The 25,480-nt window shown below is 40.7% G+C and overlaps 2 protein-coding genes and 1 pseudogene across 17 annotated transcripts in view; 1 reads left to right on the top strand and 2 right to left on the bottom strand.

The window, feature by feature from the left end:
- ART3 (ADP-ribosyltransferase 3 (inactive)) overlaps positions 1 to 25,480 on the top strand; it is a 101,597-nt gene that overhangs the window by 13,784 nt on the left and 62,333 nt on the right. The gene's annotated exons all lie outside the window — the stretch shown is intronic.
- Positions 8,709 to 11,097, bottom strand: CXCL11 (C-X-C motif chemokine ligand 11). Of its 2 annotated transcripts, none has more exons than NM_001302123.2 (4): positions 10,954 to 11,097; positions 10,243 to 10,369; positions 10,074 to 10,146; positions 8,709 to 9,839 (listed from the first exon to the last, which is right to left on the bottom strand). In NM_001302123.2, exons 1-4 carry the CDS (start codon positions 11,012 to 11,014, stop codon positions 9,780 to 9,782), a joined length of 321 nt encoding a protein of 106 aa, NP_001289052.1. In that variant the 5' UTR covers positions 11,015 to 11,097; the 3' UTR covers positions 8,709 to 9,779. The 2 variants fall into 2 exon arrangements, with proteins under 2 accessions (NP_001289052.1, NP_005400.1); NM_005409.5 differs by having other exon boundaries at positions 8,709 to 9,843.
- RPL36P8 (ribosomal protein L36 pseudogene 8) lies at positions 11,777 to 12,091 on the bottom strand (annotated as a pseudogene).

Below are 25,480 nucleotides of genomic sequence, written 5' to 3' on the forward strand. Positions count from 1 at the left end.
TTGGGGTAAATGGAATTTGCTAGAGAGCTGAATCCCATGTTAATCTGTTCTAGGAACTGGAATAGAGCTAAGCTTTCAAGTGAATAAGTCAGTGGAATTAGCTGTGGGAAACCGGAAAGGCAAAAGAGAGGGAGGTGAGGTAGAGACTGACAGAACCCAAAAGACTTTCACCTAGCAAAGAGGCGTTCGTTCTGATGAGGGAAAGTCTTATGAGAAATAGTGACAATGGAGGGATCCTTCCATACCTATTTGTGCAGAACAAACATTTTACTGTGAATAGAATGCCAACAAATTTCAGAGAAATGTCTGACATCATGAATGGAAGAGGCCTAGAAAAGTTCAACATTAAACAATCAAAATGAGAGATGGTGACAGTTTTATTTTAGTTGGTATCTAAGTTGTCAGCTAAAATGTCTCTATATAGAAGACAATGTAAAAAGGAGATACTTGATAAATGGACTAAAAATCTGTTATTAGGGATAAAATATTTGATTTTTACTAAACATTGTATTACATTAACTGTGTGCCAGGCATTGTTTGAACTGCTTTGTGACTATTGACCATATTGACTCATTTTATTCTTATAATAACATCTACCTCTGACCCAGCCACTCTTCTATTTTTTTCACCATAGATTATTTTTGCCTGTTCTAGAACTTCATATAAATGGAACCACTTGAGTATATACTCTTTTGTGCAAGACATCTTTTGCTCAGTATAATGTTTCTTAGATTCATCGATGTAGTTGCATGAATTAGTAATTTGTTTCTCTTTATTGATGGGTAGTAATCCATTGCACAAACATATCAGTTTGTTTCTTGTTGATGGACACCTTGACTGTGTTCAGATTTTAGTTATTATATATAAAGCTGCTACGAAGATTTTTTTATAATTTTTTTTCTGGGCATATGCTTTCATTTTGTGGGGTACATATGTAGCAGTGGAACATGATCACTTACTTTTTTTATTTAAAAAACGTAAGTGATCACGTCACTCTTCTGCTTAAGACCTCAAACAACTTCCAGTTAGAATAAAATCCAAATTTCTAATTAAGCTGCTTTACTAAATCCTCTATGATCTGGCTGCTACCTATTTGTCCAACCTCATATCATTCCTTCTCAACCACTACAATCCAGTCAGTGGCCCATACACTGGCAATTTTCTCCATCTGGTATGCTTTTCCTCCTGTTCGTCACATAGAGAGTTCCTTCTGGACATTTAAATTTTAGCTGGCTTGTACCTTCTCTTGTCACACAATCTGAAGCAGACATGACTTTAATTCTCTACATGGCATTTCATACTATCTGATATTCAGTTCATTCATTTTTTTTAATTAGTGTAATGTCTGTTTCTCCATGCTAAAATGTATGCCCCAGGAGAACAGGGAACTAAAATGCATATGAGAGGCATTTGGTAAATATTGGATAGAAGGATGGTTGAATGAATCTTTACAGACTTTAAGTGACAGCATACCAGGATTGTATTTCAAGAAGTATTTCCATTTGTTCATCAGATTTCTGAATCTGGACATGAGTATTATTGTTTTCCTTAGCTTTAAGAACCAAGTTTAATTTAAGAAGACTATAATTTCCCCAGAAGTTAGTTTAGATTTAAGTAGGTAAAATCAATACAGATATTCTCAGCTAGCTATAGGACAGACTCTTCATTCCGGAACTCTGGTAAATATAGAGTGGTACCCCTAAAAGCTTCTTAGTTATTTGCTGTTTTTTTATCTGTAATTAAGCATTGAATGAATGAATGCAGGAATGCAAATATCCTCAGTGCATATCATGTATATGGCCATGGATGGTGTTAGAAGAAGGAGGAGAAGTAGGCTTGTTCTCATTATTTTCTGTGCACTTTGTGTAGGGAACTAAGCTAATCTCAGGGAATACTAGAAGGGTTGAGATCCAATATTTATCCTTGATGGGTTTACATTCTAATTGGGAAGACCAGAAACTATGAAACAATAAATATCAATAAGAGAAACTTTATGGGCCGGGCAAGGTGGCTCATGCCTGTAATCCCAGCACTTTGGGAGGCCCAGGCGGGTGGATCACCTTAGGTCAGGAGTTCTAGAACAGCCTGGCCAACATCGTGAAACCCTGTCTCTACTAAAAATACAAAAAATTGGCTGGGCGTGGTGGTGGGCGACTGTAATCCCAGCTACACAGGAGGCTGAGGCAGGAGAATCACTTGAACCCTGGAGACGGAGGTTGCAGTGAGCCGAGATCACGCCATTGCACTCTAGCCTGGGCAACAAGAGCGAAACTCCGTTTCAAAAAAAAGAAAAGAAAAAAAGAAACTTTATGATCAGTACCAAATGAGTGGTATAGAAAATAAATAATGTGGAGGTTCATAGGAGACTGTACTCATTAAGGTCAGAAGTTTTCAGAAGATCCTTCAGAAAAAAAGACCTCAGATGAGCCATAAAGTGTGAATGTTACTTAAGTAAGTGGCCAGGAGAGGAAAGCTTGTGCAATTACAGATAAATGTCATCAAAAAATGGTAAAGGGGGAAGCCAACCAACCAGTCAGAAAAATTGGTAGACTCATAGGGGTGATAATGCCGTGTTAGGATTCTATAAAATCTGGTCCTCAGTTTTTCCAGTCCAGAAATTCTCATTTTTTCCTAATCATCCAGGGTAAGCATATTCTCAGAGAGTTAACTCTGCTAACCAAATCTCAGATAGACTAAGATGAAAATTAAAAGACAGTGTATCCATTACAATCCATTACATTTGATGACAGATAAATGTCATCAAAAAATGGTAAAGGGGGAAGCCAACCAACCAGTCAGGAAGATTGGTAGACTCATAGGGGTGATAATGCCGTGTTAGGATTCTATAAAATCTGGTCCTCAGTTTTTCCAGTCCAGAAATTCTCATTTTTTCCTAATCATCCAGGGTAAGCATATTCTCAGAGAGTTAACTCTGCTAACCAAATCTCAGATAGACTAAGATGAAAATTAAAAGACAGTGTATCCATTTACAATGAGAACCTTTTCAGTGACTAGGATGATTGGTTTTGGTATCCAAGTCACCCCTTTCCCAAGATCAGATTGCCTAGGAAATTGAATTAGTATCAGAACAGTACCTGGTGAGCAGAGTCAAACGAAGGACCCTTCTCTTCTTGTTTTAAATGAGGGTTCTGCTCAGGGTAGAAACCTGACAAATGTGATCAACATGGAAAATCATTTAGAAAAAAAAAATCAAACTTTTAGAGACAGTAGCAAGCCCACTATTACTTATTTCACCCAAAGCCAAGACTGCATGTGTCATTTGAATAAAAATCTAAATGATAACTCTTTTTATATATTTCTCTCAATTTTTGCAACGTTTATGGTATAATCACGTTCCTAGAATTCACTGATCTGAGTATAATTTTGAAAGAAAATGAAAGTTAAGGAAGTATCCCGCTTTAGTTTCCGTTTCAGTCGCTATTGATTTATCTTTAAGCCTGTGATTATGGCATCAGGCCAAAAAAGACAACAATGAAAAAAGGAACAGTCTGCCCTGACAAACTAATGAGCACAGACGAAGGCAAAAATGCTTTCCCGGAAACTGTTATGCTTAGAAGAAATTTTCTAAAAAGTGAGCAGGAGGACATCAGTGATTTCTGTGGACTGGGAATCCCCTCAGCTGGTGCAGAATATGCCTTGGAAAGTATGGGAGAGCAGGGCAAAGCTTCCCCTTCACAGTTTTCACTCTGAGCTCTCAAAAGATTCCCCGAGCTCACAGTGTTTGGTAATACTGGTTACATACTTTTCAATTACCCATGTGTCTCATCCTTCATAGCCAGCCTAAGCAGAGGGCAAACTGAGTGCTGGCAAAGTGGGTGGTAGACCCTAACAATCATCATGGCATTGGAGGAGGCAGAGGCTCAGAATAGCTTCTGTTTGGATACATTTTAGGCTATGCAGTGTTTCTGAACTCGCGCACTTGAGAGGACTTTTACAAATATGGCAGATTTCATCATTTGGAGGAAGAGACAAAATTGGAGGACATTATAATAAAGTAAATGTGTTTGGGGGAAGTATGGTGCATTTCTTTCTCCTTCCCATAAATAAGATATTTCAACAAAATAAATTAGAATTTTGTGATACTTTGTTCCATTTTTAATCAAAATCTTTAGAAAATGTCTAGTTTTAATTTTAATTGATTCATCATTGGTTGTCTTTTCTTTTGAGAAGAGGAATCTTGAGATATGATATAGTTCAGTAGTGCCTGTTATTCCATATTTTAGATTATCATTCAGTTTTCTTCAACTTCTTATTGACAGTTTGTCTTTGTGAACAATTTGAAGAAGAATGCTAAGTCAGGATTTATTATATAGAGTCTATAATTCACGTTAGGGCATTTCCAATTTAGTAGCAGTTTATTGAGCAGCACTAAGGAACTATGAATACATCTGTACTTATGGTGCCAGGATTTTTAGGACGTATTCTTCTTAGGTACTTAAGTGAAACTATGGTTTCAGTGTTATGTGATAATCTCAGACTTGCTCAATTTCATTACCAGTGTCTGGTTAATAAAATTTGCAGACAAGGCAAGAAGAAGCAACTAAAATTGCCTCATTCACCCCTTCTCCAAAAAAAACCCTAACAGTTTTTTTTGTGTGTGTACTACTTATAATCCACAGAATGTGCTGACCATATCATAAAGATTTATAATTGTTGGCTATGAAAATCTTTTCAGAAATAGATACAAAGAGGTATATTAATTCCATGTGGGCATATTAGGTCCTGTACTCAGTAGCCAAAAATAATTAAGTATAATCTTTCCTTTTCTAATAGCATTATCCAAAACTACTCCATTTGTTTGAAAGCTCTTCTTGGCTAATTAGAGGAAACAGTCCTGAAATTTTAAGTCACTGTGAGTGTTTGGCATCTTAAGTTCCATGTATTTAAAATCGAATCTGCAGTTTTTTCTGCTAAACTACATCTTCCCCCTCATATCCCTATTTCTGTTAGTGACAGAACTATTCTTTCAGACCTCAGAAGTTCAGCCTTTTTTCCTTGTCTCTTCTCTGCTTTAAATTCAGACTCAAATCCTTAACATGTTCTTTGTTTCTTTTTTGCATCTTCAACTTTCTTTTTCTGAGATGGAGTCTCGCTCTATGTAGCCCAGGCTGGAGTGCAATGACGCGATCTCGGCTCACTGCAACCTCCACCTCCCGGGTTCAAGCGATTCTCCTGCCTCAGCCTCCTGAGTAGCTGGGATTACAGGCATGCACCACCATGCCCAGCTAATTTTTTGTATCTTTGGTAGAGACGGGGTTTCACCATGTTGGCCAGGCTGGTCTTGAACTGCTGACCTCGTGATCCACCCGCCTCGGCCTCCCAAAGTGCTGGGATTACAGGCGTGAGCCACCGTGTCTGGCCTCAGCTTCAACTTTCACATCCAATCTATCACTGTCTTGATTATTTTTGTACAGTGTACTTGTCATTATATTTCTACTCTTACCAATACCACCTTAGTGTAGCCCTTCTTCTTTTTATGATAGTAAAATACAAATAACATAAAATTTACCATTTTAACCATTTAAAAGAGTACAATTCAGTGGAGTTAAGTACTTTCACAGTGCTGTGAAGCCATCACCATAATTTAGTTCCAGAACATTTTCATCACCCAGAAACTCCATACTCATTAAGTAGTTACTCCTCATTAACACCTCCCCCAAACCCCAGTCAGCTAATTTGCTTTTTGTTTTTATGGTTTTGCCTACTCTAGATATTTCCTATAAAATGGAATCATACAATATGTGGTCCCTTGTGTCTGGCTTTTTTTACTTAGCATATTTTCAAGGTTCATCCATGTTGTAGCATGTATCAGTACTTCATTCCTTTTTATGGCCGAATAATCTATTGTGTGTGTATACCACATTTTATCCATTCACTTGTTGATGGATATTTGGGTTGTTTCTGCTTTCTGGCTGTTGTGTATAATGCTGCTATGAACATTTGTGTACCAGTTTTTGTTTAAAGAGCTGTTTCAGTTCTTTTGGGTATATACCTAGGAATGGAATTGCTGGATTATATAGTAATATATAATTACTATAATTATGTTTAACTTATTGCAGAGCCAGCCCCATTACTTTTCACACCAGTGTTTCCCAAAGTGTGGGACACTACCATGTACATTGATAATAACGTTTAGTATCAGTGAATTATTCTCTTCTTAACTTCAATCCCTCTGATTAATTAAATCAGGGGGAATATTAGTATTTTTTCATTGTATTTTGTTTTATCATTACATTTTATTTCCATGGCATGTATTACCGATTTTACATGTACAGTAGTGAAAGTTTACTTTTCATGTAAATGTACGTAAAATAAAGTGGTATACAGAGTTTCTAAAAATATAATGAAGATCAAACAGAGAAATGTTAAAAAAAAATTGTAAAGATGATATGAGAATGCCTTGAAGTTTTGGAAATACAGACCTGAGATATTGCAGCTATTGCAGCAAATCCCAACTGATTTTCCTCCTCCACTCTTTCCCACTTTCAATCAACCATTCATGCAATTCCCAGAATATTTTCCAATGACTTTGATAGGGTCACTCTCTTCTTCACAAACATTTATTGAATCCCCATTTTGTACAGAGTAAAATTCAAGGTTATTTACAGTTTCATGTCCTTCATCCTTCCAACCAAACGAATCTAATTATGATTCCTAAAAATCACTTTATACTTCCTACTACTGTACATTCCCTTGTGTCATTCCTCTGCTGTAAATTCCTTTTCCCTTAGTTTATATTGCCATTCAATAGGGTCTGATATGCACCAGAAACTGTACTGTTGGCCTGGGCTACAGCAGCTTTCTTTTACACTTATGAGAGAGCAGATATTAGGCACAGGAATAATTCATTAATTACAATTGCAGTAAGTAGTATGATGGAAAAATAGAGAGTGTTATGGAAATAAATAAATAGGACACCTAATCTAGTTAAAGCTGAAGTGGTGGTTTCAAAGGCTTCTTGGAGAAAAAGTCATTTAAGCTGAGACCTAAGCAATTAGTAGGCATTAGCTTAGTGAAGAAATGGGCAGAGAGAATAGTATGTGCAAAGGTACCAAGGTGGGGAGGATCTTGGCTCAAATATGTTAATTATTAATATTTCATATATTTATTTTGCTATGAAGAACTTTAGGTGTATGTTTTCTTCTCAGTAATAATGTACTGGCCTATAATATTTAATATACTTCTTACAAATACCAATTTATCATGCAGCCTTAACTCTGTGAATTTTTTTTTTTTTTGAGGCAGGCTTTTGCCCAGGCTGGAGTGCAGTGGTGTGATCACAGCTGACTGCAGCCTCAACCTCCCAGACCCAAGTGATCCATCCACCTCAGCTTCCCAAGTAGCTGAGGTTACAGGCATGTGCCACCATACCCAGCTAATTTTCCTATTTTTTATAGAGATGAATTTTCGCTATGTTGCCCAAGCTAGTCTTGAACTCCTGGGCTTAAGCCATTCACCTATGTTGGTCTCCCAAAGTGCTCAGATTATAGGTGTGAGCCACCATGCCCAGCTGACTATGTGAATTTTTATTTTTAAAGAGACTTAAAAAAAAAATCACTGTAAGTAGTCAAAGATTAGATTCAAGTCTTTTTTTTTTTTTTTTTTTTGAGGTGCAGTTTCACTCTTGTTGCCCAAGCTGGAATGCAATGGCATGATCTCAGCTCACTGCAACCTCTGCCTCCCGGGTTCAAGCGATTCTCCTGCCTCAGCTTCCTGAGTAGCTGGGATTACAGGCACGTGCCAGCAGCCTCGGCTAATTTTTTGCATTTTAAGTAGAAATGGGGTTTCACCATGTTAGCCATGCTGGTCTTGAACTCCTGACCTCAGGTGATCCGCCCGCTTCGGCCTCCCAAAGTGCTGGGATTACAGATGTGAGCCATCGCACCCAGCCAGATTCAGGTCTTAAAACTATCCAGGGAATTTATATGGAAGTCCCATCTCTATATAGATATTTATATAGATTTATATAACAATTTATTATAAATCTATATTGTATCTATAACCTATATAATAATGCAATATAGATATATCTGATTATAATCCTATAATAAATATTTTTATTTTTCAAATGTATGGGTGCCTATATAGAGAGTACTGCTATCAGTCAAGGCTTTTGGTTACATGCAGAGAAACCAACTCTGGCTATCTTAAGGAGAAAAAGAATTTAGTTGGAGGTTGAAGAATCCACAGGACAATGGAGAATAAGTCTTGGAAAATGGACAAAGACCTAAGGGAACTAGGTGATAGGAAGGACTAGCCAGAGTCATGCTACAGGAACACACATTGGGAAGACACTACTGTAAGACTTTCATTGTTTCTCCTGCTGCTGCCAGGCTTGAAATAATTTTCTTACTAATAGTATCTTTGTGATGCCAGCTGGAGTTCAAAGTCTAGGGTAGAAACAGCATGGCTGAGTCCTTGTTGTGGCTACAGGAGAGGATCTCCTGTCTTTGGCTTCTCTCTTTTGGCCTCCCACCAACACTCACATAAGGGATTTTCTCCAAGTAAGAAGGGGGTTTGGACTATCAAGACCCCCCAAGGCCGACAAAAGAAACAACTGTCTTTCCCACCTACCCATTAAAATATATTTCTAAACAGTTTTTCATGATGACGGATAGGTGTATGTTTCTGAAATATAAGGCAAAATTGTTAAAGGCATCTCAAATGTCCTGGAAAGTATATAGATCTTTTTTTAAAAAAGAAAGGTTGTGGTAGTTTATTAGAGAAAAAAATGACTTTGATTCTTTAAACTAGTCTTGAGTATACCTAAATTTTACAGTATATAGGCATGAACAAAGAAATTGATTAGATTATGTATTTTTCTAAGAGACAGAATTACAAAAAGTAAAAGTGATTGCTAGGTATACATTTGCTTATTTTTCAACATTTTTCTTTGGTAGACAAAAACATTTTGTATTTCAGATGTGTCCAAGATATTGCTATCATTTATACAAACGGATCAAAACAAAAAGTACAGTAAACACACATATCCTAATTGCTTCAAAACATCTCAATGAATAAAAGTTGAAAAACATCAAATTAAGACTGGTGCTACTAATTTGGTTATGAAATATGTGCACTTTTGCCAGTATCCCATAGCGTATAATTTTTTTCATAGTACATTTTATGAATTACATTTAATGAATTGGTTATAAAACAAACCAAATGATGCATAAGAATGTCTCCCTACATATTGATGTGCTACATGATGTTTGGGGAAAGAAGTGTGTATTTGCATGAAAAAATGTTTGAGGAATGTTTTACGACACATAGATGCTTTTGACTTATAAGGGCTTGACTCCAGTAATAATGTCAATGTCTCCACCGTAACCACAGATAGTAATATAGCATAAAGATCAATACAGACAGATGACTTCTAGAGACAGAAATGTTCTCATAGTCACAACAGAATAGTTGTAAGCATCAAATCTAGAAGGTTCTCTAGCCTAGAAATGCATGAATGTATAATGCAACAAGTAAGAACGTGAAAGCACTTTGTAAACTCCGATGGTAACCAGCCTTTCTTAAGGTAGCTTTTCCTAGAAATCCATTTAATTGTTGGACTCCTTTGGGCAGTGGAATTCTGATTGTCATTCATTCAGGAAGACTGTATTTCTGTTTTTGGTCCTTTCACCCACCTTTCATCCTTCACATAACTGTACAAAAGTTGAAAGTCACAAAACCATAGAAAAGTCTCAGTTTCCTACTGTAGAATTCTTGTCATTTCAGTAGTCACAGTTAAACTTGTTCTAGGTTTTTCAGATGCTCTTTTCCAGGACTTCATATGTTTTGATATTTTTAAAAATTCTTTCTTTCAACTTTCTGGAATAAGAAAACAAGAGTTTTATTTACTTGGGCTGTTCTTGTTTCCCCCAGGACATCTAAAAACATGTAGTAAGAAGGGGAAGCTGTTACAACCAAGGACCCCTTAACAGAATATTTCACACAGGATCATAGCAGAATCTTTCTGTAGTTGTCCACATTATTTTCTTTTTCAAAAGATCTGTCTTGGATAAAACAGATTATAACATGGGAGTAATTTGGTAACTTACTTTGATTATAAGCCTTGCTTGCTTCGATTTGGGATTTAGGCATCGTTGTCCTTTATTTTCTTTCAGGGTAATACTGTTAAAAGAACATACAAGAGTCTTAAAGTTTAGATGCAAATACATAAACAAAAAAGCCTGCACCATTGTCATCTTCAGCAAGTTCATTACTTACATCACTTCTATTTTGTCACAGTTGTTACTTGGGTACATTATGGAGGCTTTCTCAATATCTGCCACTTTCACTGCTTTTACCCCAGGGCCTATGCAAAGACAGCGTCCTCTTTTGAACATGGGGAAGCCTAGAATAGATCATAGCATTAGTTAGTAATGCATCTGATTGCAACAGATGGCTGTGGTTTATAGCTGGTGGTGAACGTGAGCAGAATTTTCATTAAGGGTAAAGATAGTAATTTGTCAAATAGCACTTAACACAACTGTTACTGGGAAAAGTTAAGTAAGATGTTGATTATTTTCTCATTAAATTAGTAAGCAAATCGCTAACAAATGGGAAGCATGAAGGAAGTTTATTGGAGGTGAAGCTTGTTTTGCCCCCTTGATTTTATCCTCAAATATTTTCCCAGGAAGCTTGTTAACATGATCGCTATATAAAATCTTCTTAACAGACATTTAAAACTGTTGCTAAAGGCTTTTGCCAGATATTCTAGCCAAATCAAAAATTCCATGAAGTTCATAATTTCTAGTTTCAATAATCATCTCTAGTATCTTAAACATGTCCACCATTTCTGTGCTAAAGCTGTAGTAACTTCTAATCTGTGAGATTAAATAAAACTTTATCATGTCTTTTAGGATAAAAGTGGAAGAAAAGACATTTGAAACATTAGAAAAGGAACTTATAGGTTGAGAAATAAAAATTACTGCATACCTTGAACAACTGTAGCACACAATATCACAGCCAAGGCTATAGCCATGCCCTTCACACTCATGTTTGTTTTTTGCTGTTGCTGCTGGTGCTGCTGCTGCTACTTCAGCTTTGCTGCTCTTCTTGGAAGGAGTAGAAATGCTGAACATGAAAGGAAATTGATAATTGGCATATATAGAGCATTTTATACACCAGCAATCCTTTTATGGCACAGGAATTTCCCTCTTTGAGTCATGCACCTTTCCTGCTTCCAAGAGTTTCTGTTTTGTTCTCTTCTAAATGTTACTGTCCCTTCCTATTTGCAGTAGTGTTGAAAGTGATAAGAATGTGAAAGCACTGTGAAAACCCAGATGGTAACCAGCCTTCTTAAGGTAGCTTTTCCTAGAAATCCATTTAATTGTCGGACTACTTTGGGCAGCGGAATTCTGATTGTCATTCATTCAGGAAGACTGTGTTTCTGTTTTTGGTCCTTTCACCCACCCTTCATCCTTCACATATCTATACAAAATAATATTCTGAAAAGCTTTTTTTTATTATCTCACTTTTGCTTTTCAGTCCAAACTCTTATAATAGATAAGGCCTATATTATTTGACACCAGATGACCTTTATTCAATTTCATATTTTTACCTGTAAATGAGTGCCTAAAGAAGTTTCCCTGTGTTTCTGTATTTATGTCCATATTGTTTTGCATTTTCAACAATTTTTACTTTATATATTTTATTTTGTTTTGCTTTATTTTATTTTTAAATTTAATTTAATTTTATTACTTTATTTTATATTTATTTTATTCTGCAAAGCTTTCATTATAGGCAGATGGCAGGGGGCTCAGTCCTTCTTGGCAGCTGCTTTCCTCATGGCAGCCAGGACGTTGCTCAGCTCCTCCTGCCTTCTCTTGGTGCAGATGTTTGTCCCTACCCTTTTCTTGATGAATTTGAGGGCCTGTTTGACCTTGGAGACCTTCAGTAACTCCATGCCACGCCACTCGTTAGGGGTGAAGCCACACACCTCTGGGATCATGTCCCACACAAATTTAGTGAGTTTGGTCAGGCGCCCACAGTGGCTGTGCCTGGGCTTGCTCACATTCTTGGTCACCTTGTGGCCCTTGTTGAGGCCCACAGCTATAGGGTAGTGCAGTGTCATGGCTGCTGCCCTCCAATGGTGGCCATGGTGGAAAGCTACTTTATATATATTTTAGCACTGTTACTTAGTACATGAAGTTGTATGAGTTGTATTAGGGATCATAAAAAAAAGTGATCCTCTTTGCTCATGTGATAGTTTTACCTCTGAGATTCTACTTTGATGTAATTCCTATTTTTTTGTCTTTATCTTTTCCTCTTAAGCTTCCTAAATCTTTGTTTTAAGTGTGTCACTTGTAGATGTTTAAGAAAATCATATCAAAGGAGCTTTCTAATGGGTAAGCTTAATAAAATATATTTACTGTATAACTGGTAATCTGTAATTTTTAAAATGCTTCCTTGCTGATTCTTTATGTTTTCTTTGATTTCTTTCTAACTTTAAATATATTTTATTTAACTTTTTGAAGCCATTTTTGTTTTTTTTAATGAGATGGGTCTCACTCTGTCACCATTCTGGAGTCGAGTGGCACAATCATAGCTCACTGCAGCCATGAACTCCAGGCCTCAAGCAATCCTCCTGCCTTGGTCTCCCAAAGTGCTAGGATTACTGGGATGAGCCACGGTGCTTGGCCTTCCTTAAGTAATTTGAAAGGAATACATTGTTTTACATTTTGATATTAATTCTTAAAATTCTTTAAAAAGATTTTTACCTGAATTTTTCTAATTATTTACATCAACCATCAATAATATTTTTTTAGCTCCTGTCTTTGTAACATGAGAAAATCACTGTAACTTTCTTTCAAGAATTTTCTCCTATTTCCTAGTTTTACCAATAAAAGTTGGTATAATCGGGGAATTTATAGCCAGTTTATTACTTTTAGATTATTATTTTATCTTATTCAACTTCTTTTTTTGAGAATTATCATTTGCATTTTATCTTGAAATTATATATTTATTTAGATATAATCCTGCATTTAAATTCTTTAACAACCATGACTAGTCTTTAAAACCTTTGAAAGTCTTTACAGTAGTCCCCCATTAAATGAGAAATTCTAGAAATAATTCATAAGTTTTAAATTGTGCACTTTTCTGAGTAGCATGATGAAATCTCACATCATCTTGCTCCATCACTTCATCCCATCACATAGACATTTTATCATTTCACAGCATCACTAGAAGAGTGAGTATAGTACAATAAGATATTTGAAGAGAGAGAGACTACACAGTCACTTAACTTTTATTACAGAATATTGTTGTAATTATTCTATATATTAATGTTGATGCTCTTACTGTGGCTAATTTATAAATCAAACTTTTTTATAGGTATATATGTACAGGAAAAAATACAATATATACAGGGCTCAGTACTATCTGCAGTTTCAGGCACTCATTGGGGGTCTTGGAACATATCCCCCAAGGATAAGGTGAGGGGGCTACTGTATTTTAATTAATTTCCAAGTAGCTGGAATATTCTTTCCTTCTTTTCCATTAATTCATTTAACATATGTAAAGAAAGACTAATTTTCCCTCAGGAATATGGGTAAAGTAAAAGGAATGTGTTCTTGGAGCTCATAAATCCTTATCTGTTATTATTTTTTAATGTTGCTTTTCATTTTCTCAGCATTAGAAACACAGTAGAGCATAGTTGTTAATAGGGAAGGCTCTAGAGTCAGCCTGTGTTCAAATCCACCCTTGATTATTTATTTATTTATTTATTTATTTATTTATTTATTTATCTTTGAGATGGATTCTTGCTCTGTAGCCCAGGCTGGAGTGCAGTGGTGTGATCTCGACTCACCACAGCCTCTGCCTCCTGGATTCAAGTGATTCGCCTGCCTCAGCCTCCCAAGTAGCTGGGATTACAGGTGCGTGCCTCCATGCCTGGCTAATTTTTATAGTTTTAGTAGAGATGGTGTTTAGCCATGTTGGCCAAGCTGGTCTTGAACTCCTAACCTCAGGTGATCCTGCCGCCTTGGCCTCCCAAAGTGCTGGGATTACAGGCGTGAGCCACTGTGCCCAGCCCACATTCAGTTATTTATGAACAAGTTACCTCAACTTTTTGAGGCTATTTTCTCATCTATAGACTGGGGATAATAATAGTACTTTTTTTTTTTTTTGAGATGGAGTCTCTCTGTGCCACCCAGGCTGGAGTGCAGTGGCATGATCTCGGCTTACTGCAACCTCCGCCTCCTGGGTTCAAGCGATTTTCTTGCCTCAGCCTCCCAAGTAGCTGGGATTACAGGCATGTGTTACCACGCCCAGCCAATTTTTGTATTTTTAGTAGAGATGGGGTTTTACCATGTTGGCCAGGCTGGTCTCAGACCCCTTTTTCATAGGGCTGTTATAAACTAGGTATTAAAAGAGGTAATGCATATTAATCATTTAGAAAAATATGTAGCACTCAAAATGTATTAACTGCTATTATTATTATCAGTGTCCTTTCCTGAATTGGCATACCACATCTAGCTTGTTTTCAGCTGTTTTTCAGCATTAACACAAACACAACCACTTAATAAAAGATGAGTTGACATTGTTATAGCATATAAAAATATTTTAAATTATAATAACCATGAATATAAAAATAGCATACTAATCATAAAAATCACTTACAGAAAGTGCATGAATGCAATAGCATAGTTCAAATAATATAGACAAACAATAGTGAATATTTCTGCTTACTAGCTAAAGTGTTGTCATATAGCTTTGGTGTAAGACAATTTCTTAAATAGGGATTCTTAATTTTTTTAAAAAGACCCTGGAAATTATTAAACATATTTTTACATTATACTATTTTAAATAGAAAATAGACATAATTCAAATTTACATAAAACAAGACTAAACTCTTCCTTTTGCCTTCATGTGTGAATTACTACTTAGCTGTGTAGAAAAACTGTGGATCACAATTTTCTCCTTCAGTACTCTGCTGGGAGTCTTGGAATGTATCCCCCAAGGATAACAAGGGGACTACTGTATTTTATTTTCTATTGTTTTATTTTCTTCCTTACTGCAAAGGTAATATCTGATATTTTAAAAAAACATTAGAGCTGGGCATGGTGGCTCATGCCTGTAATCCCAGCAGTTTGGGAGACCGAGGCAGGCGGATCACTTGAGGTCAGGAGTTCGAGACCAGCCTGGCCAACATGGTGAAACTCTGTCTCTACTAAAAATACAAAAATCAGCTGGGTATGGTGGCGCATGCCTGTAATTCCAGCTACTTGCAAGGTTGAGGCAGGAGAATCGCTTGAACCCAGAAGGCGGAAGTTGCAGCGAGCCAAGATCGCGTCACTGCACTCCAGCCTGGGTGACCCAGAGAGACTCCGTCTCAAAAAAACAAAAAACCAAACATTAGAAAATGTGTAATAAGAAGAACCTTACCACCAGAGATGACCACTGCTTTAGTTTTCTTCCCTCTGGATGGATACGCACATACACTGGATACACACACACACACACACACACACACACACACACACACACACATTTCGCCTAACAAGTTCTATATCAGACTATATCAGGTTCTCCCCCCCGCCCCCTCCATGTGTCAGGGACTATATAGATACTTCAGAAGGAGACAGAGGAGAAGACAGGGAGAAAAAAAAATTCTTCCTTTTCCTCTGTGAGGAAGACTACTGCATAATCTTCCTCACGGAGGCTGCTGCTTGTGTATGACCCTAGAGGAGGGGGCTATCCCTCCCCCATGTAGACACATCTTTGTCTGCTTTTCCTCAGAGCTAAATCACAGTTTGAAAACTGAGGGAGGTTTATTTAGTTCTTCACTTCTTCAGGTGATAGATCCAAAATTATGCAGAGTAAGGAGAGGGATTGGTTTTGTGCTGTAACCTTTTCACTTCATCTCCTTGAACCACAAAATAAGCCTAATTAGGCTTTAGCAGGTGCTAATGTGGATACTCTCTCCTTCTATAACACTCTCTCCCTCTTTACTGCTCTTCCTCCCAGTGTTCCTGCCTTAGAGTGTCCTGGAAAGCACTACCCTTTTCTATAGTAGTTCATTTATTCATTTACTCATTCATTCAGCAAATGTTTATTTTAGATGTCTGTCACATGTCTGGCACTCTTTTGGGTATTAGAGATAGAACAGTGAACAAAACTCACCAAGTCCTTTCCGTGTGTTCCAAATTTCAAACTTTCTGCCTTATTGTAGAAGTTAGTCTGCCTGATTTCTGCTGGCTTTGTAGATGTGTGGGGTCAGACGTGTCTTCAGGATTGTGACTTGTTCTGGCTCTATACTCTCTGACATCACATGAGGAAGATTACCTTCTTTCACAGCATCCCCTCATCTGGTGAGCCTGAGAGATCCCTATTTTTTATATTTGTATAATATGGTTTTTCTAGCATGAAAATGCACTTTCCTCTCCTCTTTTGAATCCTTTCCTTCGTTTAAGTCTTGATGTCTTCATGAAGCCTTTTTCATTATATCGTGGTATCTTCTTGACCTTTATACTTTGTAGAACTTACTGTCTTTTCTAACTTTATCCAGTAGAAATACAGTGCAAGGCATGGACATAATTTTAAATATTCCAATAGCCACATTTAGAAAGTAAAAAGAAACAGATGAAATTAATTTAAATATATTTTCTTTAATTAAGCATGAAAATATATTATTTCAATGTGTAATCAATGTGGATATAAAAATGTTAAATGAAATATTTTACCTTTTATTACTAAGTCTTCAAATTGAACTAGCTACATTTCAAATGCTTGATAATAACATGTGTTTAGTGGCTACCATATTGGACAGTGAAGGTCTAGTTATTCATTTGGCATGTATTATATACTGACTCCATACTTATTTTAAACTAAAGCTGAGGTTGGAGAGGCAGATAGATAACTGTCAAACTCCTGTAAATTTCCCTAGTTGTTTTCTTCTTTCTCTAAGTCATTATATCTCATTGCTCTTTTTCTTTGATTAAATGCAAAAAAGATCAGATACATTCTCTGTGTTCTTAGCAGTGTTGGCCTTTTTTATTGTTTCCAGAATTGGACTACTTTATTTTATTTTCCCAGGTTCACCCACTTAAATAAGTTTTGCTTTTAATTTAAAGACATAGGAGCATCCCAGGAAATGATGGAATCTAGTTTCCATAAGTAATCACCTTTTCAGCTTAAAAAATCTGTAATCTGTGCTTCATCTGAAATTTTATTAATGCTGCTAAGTTAGCCAATTAATGTAGAATTTTAAAATGTTTCCAAGTTAAAAGAGATTAATGTAAGCTATTTAAAAATAATTTCCAACTCACCATTCACCAGGTCTCTGAATAATATATTGCCTGACAAAAGAAAAAAGGTAGTATCAAGGATATTTTATTCAGTTAAGTTAGTGAAAAGTGGGTTAGAAATGAAAACTAATGTTTCCATTTATTATAAATAAGTATGACTTAAAAGAATCCTGTTTTGAGTGTTAGAAGACAGATGACTCACTCCTAGGGAAGAGGTTGCCAGGCATGTAATAGACACCTGAAATAATATAGATAGACTGAACAGATTAATGTAGAATCCTAAACTCTTAAAAGTGTGTCCAGAATTGGTGGGTTCTTGGTCTCGCTGACTTCAAGAATGAAGCCACGGACCCTCGCGGTGAGTGTTACAGCTCTTAAGGTGGCGCGTCTGGAGTTTGTTCCTTCTGATGTTCGGATGTGTTCGGAGTTTGTTCCTTCTGGTGGGTTCGTGGTCTCGCTGGCTCAGGAGTGAAGCTGCAGACTTTCGCGGTGAGTGTTACAGCTCATAAAAGCAGTGTGGACCCAAAGAGTGAGCAGCAGCAAGATTTATTGCAAAGAGTGAAAGAACAAAGCTTCCACAGTGTGGAAGGGGACCTGAGCGGGTTGCCACTGCTGGCTCGGGCAGCCTGCTTTTATTCTCTTATCTGGCCCCACCCACGTCCTGCTGATTGGTAGAGCCGAGTGGTCTGTTTTGACAGGGCGTGATTGGTGCGTTTACAATCCCTGAGCTAGACACAAAGGTTCTCCACATCCCCACCAGATTAGCTAGATACAGAGTGTCGACACAGAGGTTCTCCGGGGCCCCACCAGAATAGCTAGATACAGAGTGTCGATTGGTGCATTCACAAACCCTGAGCTAGACACAGGGTGCTGACTGGTGTATTTACAAACCTTGAGCTAGATACAGAGGGCTGATTGGTGTATTTACAATCCCTGAGCTAGACATAAAGGTTCTCCACGTCCCCACCAGACTCAGGAGCCCAGCTGGCTTCACGCAGTGGATCCCGCACCAGGGCTGCAGGTGGAGCTGCCTGCCAGTCCCGGTGCTGTGTGCCCACACTCCTCAGCCCTTGGGTGGTCAATGGGACTGGGCACCGTGGAGCAGGGGGTGGCACTCGTCAGGGAGGCTCGGGCCACACAGGAGCCCATGGAGGGGGTGGGAGGCTCAGGCATGGCGGGCTGCAGGTCCCGAGCCCTGCCCTGTAGGAAGGCAGCTAAGGCCCGATGAGAAATCGAGTGCAGTGCCAGCCCACTGGGGGACCCAGTACACCCTCCGCAGCTGCTGGCCTGGGTGCTAAGCCCCTCATTGCCCGGGGCCGGCAGGGCTGGCCAGCTGTTCCGAGTGCGGGGCCCACCAAGCCCACGCCCACCCAGAACTCCAGCTGGCCCACAAGCGCTGTGCGCAGCCCTGGTTCCCACTGGCGCCTGTCCCTCCACACCTCCCTGCAAGCTGAGCGAGCCAGCTCCGGCCTTGGCCAGCCCAGAAAGGGGCTCCCACAGTGCAGCAGTGGGCTGAAGGGCTCCTCAAGTGCCGCCAAAGTGGAAGCCCAGGCAGAGGAGGTACCAAGAGCAAGCGAGGGCTGTGAGGACTGCCAGCACACTGTCACCTCTCAATCCCACCTCTAAACAGGACACCCCAACTGCTGTTGGGAATTTGGCCGATGACCACTCTAGCTACTTCCTGCTGGATAGGGGTGAAGAAGGGGCCCTGCAGTTGTAGTGTCCTTCAGAGGGGAACTCTCTAGGCCAGGGGAAGTGCCAGCGGGTTGGTCCAGGGGTCCTTGGTAGAAGTTGTTAGTTGAACTCATTTGGGGTTCCATTTGTAAGACCATCTGTAGCTTGATGGCCTCGATTCTAGAGGAAACAAATTTGACAGGAAGGTTAAAAATACAGGGCCCAAAAGCGAGTAACAGCAAGATGGCTGCCATGGGACCTAGAAAGGGGAGAAGCCATGTTGCCCAACTCCAGAGATTGGTATAAGAATTTGAAAGGCGTTGTCTGATTTCAGAAGCCTTTTCCTGTAAACGCCGGGCGGCATCTCATACTATCCCCGACTGGTTAGTGTGAAAACCACATTCTTCCCCTAAGAAGGTGCAGAGTCCTCCTTTCTCAGCAGTGAGGAGGTCTAGGCCTTGGCGTTTTTGGAGAGTCACTGCTGCCAAAGAGTCTATTTGGGATTGTAAAGTAAGAATAGATTTCGTTATTTCTTGCAAACTGTCTGAGAGGCAGATATGGGTTGAAGATCCACATAAGTAGAATATGCCTTGGCTAGGAAGACAGAAATTTACCCTGGCTTTTAAAGGAAAAGGGTACACTGTTTTTTCTTTACTACTTCCATCTCTTTCTTTCTCTCTTCAACTTCTTTGTCTCTTCCTCTCTTTTTAACTCTCTCTTTGACTTTCTGTGTCTGTCCCTCTTTCTGACTCCTTTTCTTTGTCTCTGTTTCTGACACCCTCTTTAACGTTCTGTCTCTCTGTCTCTTCCTCTCCCTGTCTCTTTCTCTGACTTTCTCTTTCTCTCTTTCCTTCTTGCTGGTCTTTCCCTACCTCTGCCAGCCGCTTATGCTGCTGTTCTCCCCTCTCCTTCCCATTTTGATGGCCTTGGTAGTGTAAGACTCCCACCTCTTTGGGTTCCTGCACCATGTGCAATAACTCCATAACTTCCCTGTGGCATCCAGCGGGGGTTCCCAGAGGTTAGGAACTCCCATTCTTTCCATATTGCAGCATGGGCATGTAGGATTAGATAAGCATACTTGTTATCTGTATACACATTTATTCTTTTTCCCTTTCCCAGTTCTAAGGCTCGGGTAAGTGCCACTAGTTCTGCTAACTGGGCACTGGTCCCTGGGGGAAGAGGCTTGCTTTCAAGTGTGGTTACATCACTATGGCGTAACCTGCCCTTCGTATCCCATTCTTCACAAATGAACTTCCATCGGTATATAGGTTAAGGTCAGGATTAGTTAAGGGGACTTCTAAGAGATCATCTCGGGCGGCATAAGTCTGGACTATAATTTGTTGGCAGTCATGCTCAATTGGTTCCCCATCCTCTGGGAGAAAAGTGGCAGGGTTGAGGGCCACGCACGTGCATATTTTAAGCACCAGTCCCTCAAGGAGTAGTGCCTGGCATCTAAGAGGCGGTTGTCTGATAGCCATAAACTTCCTTTGGCACCTAGTATGCCATTTACATCATGAGTAGTCCAGACAGTGAGATCCTTTCCTTGTATTATTTTGATAGCCTCTGACGCTAAGACAGCCGCTGCTGCAACTACCCTTAAACAGTGAGGCCAGCCTTTGGCTACTACATCAATTTCCTTACTTAGGTATGCCACTGGTTGTGGGGTTGTCCCACGAGTCTAAGGACTCCAAGAGCTATCTTGGCTCTCTCTGTGATGTATAAAGAGAAGTTCTGTCCTGTGGGAAGGCTTAAAGCTGGAGCTTGTACTAGAGCCTGCTTTAAGCTTTTGAAGGCTGTTTCTGCCTCTGGTTCCCTTTCAACTAGATGAGTATTTGCCCTCTGGGTTTCCTTGATTAGAGTATAGAGGGGCCTGGCTATCTTGCTGTATCTGGAGATCCATAGTCAGCAAAAGCCAGTAATTCCAAGGAATCCCCGCAACTGTTTTAATGTCTTAGGGTGAGGATAAGCCAGTATAGGCTGTATTCATTCCTTGCTGAGGGCCCTGGTCCCTTTGGCTAAGATTAGGCTTAGATATTTAACCTGCTGTAGGCAAAGCTGGGCCTTCGACCTAGACACCTTGTACCCTTGATTAGCCAGAAAGTTCAAGAGATCCAGAGTAGCCTGCTGGCACGAGGCTTCCAAACTGGTAGCCAAAAGTAAATCATCCACATATTGAAGGACCAGAGTGCCTGGACTTGAGAAGTGGCCTAGATCCTGGGCCAGTGCCTGACCAAACAGATGAGGGCTATCCCTAAACCCTTGGGGCAAGACCATCTGTGTAAGTTGGGACGTGTGGTCTGTGGGATCCTCAAAAGCAAAGAGAAACTGGGAGTCAGAGTGCAGGGGAATAAAGAAGAAGGCATCCTTGAGGTCCAGAACCGTGAACCATTCTGCTTCCCCTGGTATTTGAGAGAGCAGGGTATAGGGGTTGGGTACAACTGGATATAGAGGAATTACTGCCTCATTAATGAGTCTAAGATCTTGCACTAGTCTCCACTGACTGTTCGGTTTTTGTACTCCTAGAACTGGGGTGTTGCAGGGACTGCTGCATTTCCTCACTAAGCCTTGAGCTTTTAAATGTTTAACAATATTCTATAATCCTTTATGAGCTTCAGGCCTTAAGGGATATTGCCTTTGATACGGAAAAGTGGTGGGATCTTTTAACCTGATTTGGACTGGGCAGGCATTTTTTGCCCTTCCAAATTGTCCTTCCAATGCCCAGACTTCAGGGTTGATTCCCTCCTCAAGTAGGGGACAGCAAATGGGTAACTTTTTCCCCATATTCATGTAGATAATAGCTCCAGCCTTGGCTAATATATCCCTCCTTAATAAGGGTGTGGGACTTTCAGGAATAACAAAAAAGGCATGTGAAAAGAGCAAAGTCTCTCAATTACAACTGAGGATGTGGGAGAAATACCTGGTTACAGGCTGTCCCAGGATTCCTCGGGTGGTAACGGACCTTGAGGACAGTCATCCAGGACAGGAGATTAACCCTGAGAAGGCCGCGCCAGTGTCCAGGAGGAAGGCAATTTCCTGGCCCTCAATAGTTAAACATACCCGGGGCTCAGTGAGGGTGATGACATGAGCTGGCACTTGCCCCGGGCACCCTCAGTCCTGTTGTCGCATCATCTGGTTGGGGGCTTCTGACCCAGGGAACCTTCATCCTCTGGGGCAGTGCACCTTCCAGTGATTGCCTCAGCATAGTGGACATGGACGAGGGGGCAGCTTGTTTCTCATTGGACAATCTTTTTTAAAGTGTCCTAGTAAACCACACTGATAACAAGCCCTACCAGGTGATTGGCCTGCTCCATTTTCTGTCCTCTCTGAACCACCAAGGCTTGTTTGTCTGAGGGCCATGACTAAGGCTGTGGCCTTTCTCTGATCTTGCTTTTCCTTTTGGGCCTGTTCCTCTTGGTCCCTATTATAGGACACCGAGGTTGCCAGGTTTAATAATGCCTCTTGATTTTGTTCAGGGCCCAGGGCTTGCTTTTGGAGCTTTCTCCTGATATCTGCGGCTGATTGGGTAATAAACTTACCCCCGAGTGATTCAGGTGACAGGGGAGTATATTTTCTTAAGGCCTCTCATAGCCGCTCGGGGAAGGCAGAAGGATTTTCTTCCTTTCCCTGAGTTATGGCGGATATCATTGAATAATTCATGGGCTTTTTTCTAATTCTCCTTAGTCCTTCTAGAACACAGGTCAACAGATGTTTACGACTCCAGTCCCCATGATCTGAGTCAAGGTCCCAGTGGGGATCCATACTGGGGATGGCTTGCTGACTGGTAGGGAATTTGTCCCTTTCTTCAGCTGTCATTCCATCATTTACTTGACTAAGATACCGGGTATCTCCAAACTCTCGGGCTGCAGCTAAAGCCACATTCTTTTCATTAAAGGCCAGGGTTTGATCTAACAGTGGCATGACATCTCTCCAAGCGAGGTCAAAGGTTTGCCCTAGACCCTGTAGGACATCTATGTAGGTACATCTGTGTACCTCTCAGGATCATCTGAAAACTTCCCCAGGTCTGCCTTGATCTGTTTTAAATCAGAGAGGGAGAAGGGGACAGGTACCCGGGTTGGGCCAAATTCCCCTCCCCCTACAGCTTGAAGGGGACATAACCTATAGCCCAGGGGTTTTTATGGTCGTTTGGAGATTTCTTTGCTTATTTCCTTCTGGGCAGGGGAGATTAGAGGAGGATTATCACTAATAGGAAGGGGAGCTATAGGGAGGCTAGGATATGGGGATAAGCTGAGAGGTCCTCCTGTAGGATGTAAATTGTAAGCTTTGCATAGTTGTGTATTCTCCCTCAATGAAAAGAAAGCTTGGACATAAGGTATTTCACTCCATTTCCCTTCCTTCTTACAGAAAAGATCAAGCTGCAGGATAGTATTATAATTTGTACTTCCCTCAGGTGGCCATTTTTCCCCATCAGAGAGAGAATATTGGGGCCAAGCCATAGTGTAGAAAAAAATGAGCCATCTCTTTTTCAGGGTTAGTGGGTCAAATTGGTCCCAATGGCTTAGGATGCATTTCAAGGGTGAGCCTGTTGATGCATGAGTGTTTCCCATCTGAAAGGCAAAACCACCCGTGGTTTTGGTTTATTTTGTTTCTCCCCCTGCCCAAGAACCCACAACGGTCCCTGGACCCTGCTGATTGGAATAGTTGCGCTCACCGATGCAGCAGCAGAAACAACCCCTGCCCAAGAACCCGCAACAGTCTCTGGACCCTGCTGATCAGAATAGTTGTGCTCACTGACGCAGCAGCGGAAACACTAGTTTTCCTCCCAGACCACATGGAGGACTGAGGAAGGTCGGATTTAGTGGTCCTTACCAATGCATTCTCGAAAACCTGCACCCTTGCCTGTCTTCCTAGACCACAAGGAGGACCGACCACAAAAAATCGGATTTAGTGGCCCTTATGATGCATTCTCAAAAACCTGTTAGAGTCCTAAGCATTCTCCTGTTAGTATTGGGACTTTACCCCTGTCCTATAAAGATCTTATGCCCCAAAAATGAAGTGGAGGGCCATACCCTGAGGGAGGGAAGGGATCTTCAGGGTTGGAAGAGTGACACCTTTTTCCTCACTTATATGAATAGGAAGGATACAATTTCTGAGGCTCCCCATATCCTAGCTTCAGGAATAGCTTTTGTTAGGCCTGTTAGTCTCAGGAGGGATCCTAAAATTCCAGGTAGTCCCCACTATGACGGGGCTTTGGGCAAAAATCATGTCTTTCTGATTGGTGAGCCTGGGTGCCTAAAGAAGGTAACAGAGTCCTGGAGTTTATACTATAAATCATTCTTATAGGAGAAACTAGAAAAGCACCAGGGACAGGTAGCAATTTTTAGAAGTGGGTCTAACCTCAGAGAAGACAGGCGAGAGGAAGTTTGTCTGGCAGGCATTAGGACCCAGGCGGCAAGGGTCAGGATAGATAGGATAGATGGGTGAGTCTTTCTTGGGCGACATGCTTTTGAGAGTGCCGCTCATGGCCGCAGGGTCAGCCAACATGTTGTCGGGACCTTGGAGCTGCATGGCTTTCCTCTCTGTCGACCCTCGGCTCAGCCCAGAAGTACAGGAAAAGCGGAAGCTGGTTCTAGGCAAACCAACGGTCCCAACTCCAAAGAGTCAGGGGTTGTTAGAGAGCCCTTTCCCAGACAGCCTGACACCCATGTCTTTAGTCCGGCAGCCTCACTAGTCTCTTTTAACTGGCCGACAGGTGCCCGGTATTTAGCCCCCGAAATTTTAAGGAAAAATAGGACAGAATAGCAAGCGAAAGGGGTCTGATGGTACTCACTGCTTGGCGATAGGCGATTGTCTCACCGCTCGGCGATAGGCGATGGTCTTACCGCTCGGCGATAGGCGAAAGTCCCTTCGTGGTTGCCAAGATGTGTCCGGAATTGGTGGGTTCTTGGTCTCGCTGACTTCAAGAATGAAGCCGCGGACCCTCACGGTGAGTGTTACAGCTCTTAAGGTGGCGCGTCTGGAGTTTGTTCCTTCTGATGTTTGGATGTGTTCGGAGTTTGTTCCTTCTGGTGGGTTCGTGGTCTCACTGGCTCAGGAGTGAAGCTGCAGACCTTAGCGGTGAGTGTTACAGCTCTTAAGGCGGCGCGTCTGGAGTTGTTCGTTCCTCCCGGTGGGCTTATGGTCTCACTGGCTCAGGAGTGAAGCTGCAGACTTTCGCGGTGAGTGTTACAGCTCATAAAAGCAGTGTGGACCCAAAGAGTGAGCAGCAGCAAGATTTATTGCAAAGAGTGAAAGAACAAAGCTTCCACAGTGTGGAAGGGGACCTGAGCGGGTTGCCACTGCTGGCTCGGGCAGCCTGCTTTTATTCTCTTATCTGGCCCCACCCACGTCCTGCTAATTGGTAGAGCTGAGTGGTCTGTTTTGACAGGGCGCTGATAGGTGGGTTTACAATCCCTGAGCTAGACACAAAGGTTCTCCACATCCCCACCAGATTAGCTAGATACAGAGTGTCGACACAAAGGTTCTCCAGGGCCCCACCAGAATAGCTAGATACGGAGTGTCAATTGGTGCATTCACAAACCCTG

Source organism: Homo sapiens, chromosome 4, assembly GCF_000001405.40.
Source record: "Homo sapiens chromosome 4, GRCh38.p14 Primary Assembly".
Taxonomy (NCBI): domain Eukaryota; kingdom Metazoa; phylum Chordata; class Mammalia; order Primates; family Hominidae; genus Homo; species Homo sapiens.

What these genes read in the sequence shown, in the direction of transcription:
- CXCL11 (NM_001302123.2), bottom strand. Translation starts at nt 11,014, where the DNA reads ATGAGTGTGAAGGGCATGGCTATAGCCTTGGCTGTGATATTGTGTGCT. An exon ending in GTGTGCTACAGTTGTTCAAG is followed by an intron (nt 10,370 to 10,953) that starts GTATGCAGTAAT and finishes GATCTATTCTAG; the next exon opens with GCTTCCCCATGTTCAAAAGA. An exon ending in AAGCAAGGCTTATAATCAAA is followed by an intron (nt 9,840 to 10,073) that starts GTAAGTTACCAA and finishes TATTCCAGAAAG; the next exon opens with TTGAAAGAAAGAATTTTTAA.